Source organism: Homo sapiens, chromosome 7, assembly GCF_000001405.40.
Source record: "Homo sapiens chromosome 7, GRCh38.p14 Primary Assembly".
In the NCBI taxonomy this organism is placed as follows: domain Eukaryota; kingdom Metazoa; phylum Chordata; class Mammalia; order Primates; family Hominidae; genus Homo; species Homo sapiens.
In genome coordinates, this window is record NC_000007.14 from 65,368,781 (window position 1) to 65,373,719 (window position 4,939).

The following is a 4,939-nucleotide window of genomic DNA, read 5'->3' on the forward strand; positions in this document are numbered from 1 at the left end:
TGAGGACCTTGAACCTTGATTTCATAATCTTATAACTCAGAAGGGGCCCTCCAATCTCTTGCAATTGTATACCCATTGGAGATTTTAAGGTAAAGTTAACCAGGGAAGATTCTCCTCAAAAGAAGATGGCAACCTTGATGTAAATAGCTGTTTACACAAGATAAAAAATCAAGACATCTCTGCTATCATGACACTCTTAGTTCACAGATTTTTTTTAATGGCTCTGTAAATAACAAAAATAAAAAAGGGGTCTCTTGTGTGCACTTATGGGGTATACTTTTATATGTAGAGAATTTTGCACCAAACCTTATATATGAACAAACTTATGCCTTGATAGGTAAAAGATGAAGGGCCAATGTAGGTGAGAAATTTTAATGGGACATTTGTTGCCTCATAATACCAGAAACAGAATATTGGTCCACTGCTCTTAACCTACTTCATAAGTTAAAGAGAACTTATTCAGAATTGGTTAGGGAGCATTGCCAGGAAGCCATTACTCCTCTGAATGGGCATAATTTTTAGGTCTTTTTTCCCATGGTTTAGAGTAAATGAGGCAATGGTTAGAAATTTATCCCCTATAATTGGGTCTGTAGCAGATTTTACTGTAAAGGCTATGGTTACACGATAGACTTTAAACTTTCTTATTAAAGTTGTGCTAAATGATGAATTTCTCTAGATTACTTACTGGATAAACAGAGAAGTATCTGTGCAGTTGCTAATACTTGTATTTGCACTAGAGAAATACATTGGATATTACAGAGATTCAGTTACAGGAGATTAATGAACAGGATGCTTGGTTGAAATGAATAGATCATTTATCTAGCTAATTATTTGATTTATTTAATTGTAGTTGGTTTGTTCATGGGGACCCTGGCTAAAAAGCGTACTTCAATCTCTTGGTATTACCCTCCTGATGTCAAAATAGTAGTCTCCCTACTGCACTGTATTCTCTCAAAAGTTATAAATGTTTGCATGCAGTCATCTCCAGAATGTCAAATGGTTTCTCATTAACTGGAATGACAAAAACTTAAAGACATATGTGACCATGAGGACACCATGACCTATGAATAACATAATAGATAAGGACAAAAACCCAAAACAATGGAAACTAAGTGGCACGAAGGCCCTGAGTTTTGGTCAAAATCTGACCCACATGAGAACTTAACCAAATGGAGGGAATTTTTAAAACAAAATTATCGGAGGCCACTATTCCTGACTGAGCTTGTGCACTAGGCCCAAACAGACCAAACCAAACCAAAATGGAGTCACTCATGCTAAATGTCACATAAACTGAAAATTTAAGGAAAGAGGTAGATCCTTAAGATCTATAGGCCAGGTTTTGTTTTTCATGTGTAAACAGTAGATTTCAACACAAGGAGGTCCTCTTACTGTAAGCCTTTAAAAAAATAACCTGAAGGCTTTATTTCCACTTTACGAAACCCACAGTTCTGTTACTTCACAGTGGGATTTGAAACTAAATAAGTACATTTTTAATGGTGACAGACTGATATCAGTGTCTAAAGTTTTGGTCTACATCTGAAAATTGAGAAGGTAACCAAAAGGGAAAAATTGTTAAATTAATTATAGCCTAAACCTGCCCCCTTTCCTGTATAAGTTTGGTCAATAGGTATTTTTCAAGATAGTAAACTGAAACCTAACTAGATATGTAAGTAGACTGTAACACATTCTTGTACCAACCACTGTGTTTTTGCCAATAAAAAAGTTAACTGTTCAAACAATGTTCAAATAAGGCAAATCCCAAGCTGTAATCAATCCGGCTGTTTCAGTACCTCACTTTCATTTTCTGTGTGTCACTTTGCTTTTTTTGTCCATAAATCTTTTTCTACCAGGTGGCTGTGCTGAAGTCTCTCTGAGCCTACTCTGGATCCACAGGCTACCTGATTTGCAAATTATTTTTTGCTCAATTAAACTCTGATAAATTTAATATCTCTAAAGTTGGTTGTTTTTAAGTTTTCAAATTTTTTACAATAAAAAATAATGTGTTGGGCTTTGATTTTCTAAACTCATCCCTCAGCGATTTTCCCAGATTATTCTACGTTCTTTCAAAATGCTTCTGCAATTTCTTTTTTTAAAAAAATTTTCGAGATAGGGTCTCACTGTATCACCCAGACTAGAGTGCAGTGGTGTAACCACTTATGGCTGACTGCAGCCTTGACCTTCCGTGCTCAAGCAATCCTCCTGCTCCAGCTCCCCGAGTAGCTGGGACTACAGGCATGCACCATTATGCCATTATGCCTGGCTAATTTTTTTAACTTTTTTCATGAAGACAGGATCTTACTATGTTGCCCAGGCTGCACTTGAACTCCTGAGCTCAAGTGATTCTCCCATCTCAGCCTCCCAAACTGCCAAAATTACAGACGTGAGCCACCGTGTGCATCTGCAGTTCTTGAGAGTATTAGCAATAATTAAACAGTACTATATGGGCATAAATTTGAAAGAATCTGGCATCTATTCTAGAAGGGTCACTCGCCAGGATTTCAAGGGTCTAAGGCAGTTACTTTGGTAGTGTTATTTATGGAGGTGCATTGGCTTTGGGGTCAGACAGAGTTGATCCTGAATCTCAGCCCAGCCACTTAGTAGATGTGGGTCTTTGGACAAGTTTCCTGATGTACAAGAGTTCTATAAACCACATATGCAAAAAAAGGTAGAATGATACTGATTGCAAAAATGGTAGCAATTTTTTATCCCTTCTATGTCCACGCCCGTTGCCAGGGATTTTTACAGCTGTTCCCATTGAGATCCAGAATCTGTTTTCCGAAACCTAGATCTGGCTGGCCTTGTTTGCTCAAGGCAGTAAAAACATGTGACCATGATAGCGTGCCAGTTTGGGGCTTAGCAGTCTTGAATGCTTCTGTTTTTCTTTCACAATGCTGCCATCTCTGTGAAAAAAAGCCCATGCTAGGCAGCTGGAGGATGACATACCATGGGGAGGAGAAGCAAGGTGTCCCTGTTGACAGCTCCAGAAGCGCACATCCAGAAGCACAGCTGCCTAGTTAACAAGCAGCTGATAACACATGTCTGAAGGAGCTCAGCTGAGATCAGAAGAATTGCTCCACTGAGCCCAGCTTAAATGACTGACCATCTCAATTGTGAGCTAAGAAGCCTTAGCTGGGTTGGGCGCAGTGGCTCACGCCTGTAATCCCAGCACTTTGGGAGGCCGGGGTGGGCGGATTACCTGAGGTCAGCAGTTTGAGACCAGCCTGACCAACAAGGAGAAACCCCATCTCTACTAAAAATACAAAATTAGCCAGGCGTGGTGGCGCATACCTGTAATCTCAGCTACTCAGGAGGCTGAGGCAGGAGAATCACTTGAACCCAGGAGGCGGAGGTTGCGGTGAGCTGAGATCGTGCCATTGCACTCTAGTTTGGGCAACAAGAGCGAAACTCTGTATTTAAAAAAAAAAAAAAGCCTTGGTTGGTTTGTTATGCTGCAATACCTAACTAATACGTGCACACAGTGCAGATAGGATGCCAGGATTTAATGACAGGTTGATTACTGGTTGTTATAGTTACCTTCCAACAGTTGGCACCCTAAAAGTGCTGATTTTTTTTTCTGCTCTAAAGTTGGATGTTTTGTAAGATAATATTGAGTAATGCAGAAAAATATGTAGGCATGTTTGCATGGGATTGGTACTTGTACTCACACAATCCCCACGCCACAGGAGAAAACAGATAAACACACTCTGGCCACTAGGGCCAGGCCAAATAGCAAAATAAGTTTACCTTTAATCTGTTTTCTCTATACTTAAACACTGGAAGTGATGACTGTGGAGAGATCTGAAGACATAGCGTTTAATCTCCTGTGGCCCCATCATCTTTTGGTTACTGTCTGATCTCTGGAAGAAAGGTGGGCAACAGGTGGCCAGCAGTGGTGTACCTGTGGTTATTTTATTCTTGCTGCCCTCTGCTCTTTCTATGGTGACTATCTTGTTCCACCCTCAAAACTGTAGAAAGATGTTGGTAAAGAGAGGCTGTCCCCTCACTTCTGGCAGAAAAGGGGTGTTCAGACCCTTCACCCTCCTGATGTCAGGGCTGCATTTCAATGTGGCAGCTATTGGCCATGTGTAGCTACTGGCTGCCTGGAATGTGGCTGGTCTGAATTGCAATGTGCTAGAAAGGTAAAATAGAGTTAATTTCAAAGATTCAGTTCCAAATAAATATATATACTTTATTAATAATTACATATCACTCACATATTAGAATAAGGTTTTAGATATATTGGGTTAAATTGTTACAATCAATTTCACCTGTTTCTTGTTTCTTTTTAAAGTTTGGCTGCTAAAAAATGTACAATTCACGTGTCGCCCACATTTTATTTTAGAGGATTGCCTTCTTTTTAAAATTTCAGGCTGCCTGCTTAAAAAAACAGAAGTTGGCCGGGCTCTGTGGCTCACACCTGTAATCCCAGCACTTTGGGAGACCGAGGCGGGCGGATCACAAGATCAAGAGATCAAGACCATCCTGGCCAACATGGTGAAACCCCGTCTCTACTAAAAATACAAAAATTAGCTGGGTGTGGTGGCGTGCGCCTGTAGTCCCAGTTCCTCGGGAGGCTGAGACAGGAGAATCGCTTGAACCTGGGAGGCGGAGGTTGCAGCGAGTTGAGCTCGTGCCACTGCACTCCAGCCTGGCGACAGAGCTAGACTCTGTCTCAAAAAACAAAAACCAAAAACAAAACAAAACAACAAAACCAGAAGCCAGGAAGGTCATAAAATCTGAAAATTTTGAATAATTGGTATTATATTCTTTGCATTTGTGAATAGACATATAATATACTATTTATAAATGCATATGGCCTTATTCACAAGGTTAAATGCAAATACTGTCTGGGGTGGGCCTGACTCAGCTCAGGGAGGAAGCCCCGTCTGAAAAGGCTGCAGCTTAGGCTGTCACTCTTCCTTCAGTCCAGCATCTGATC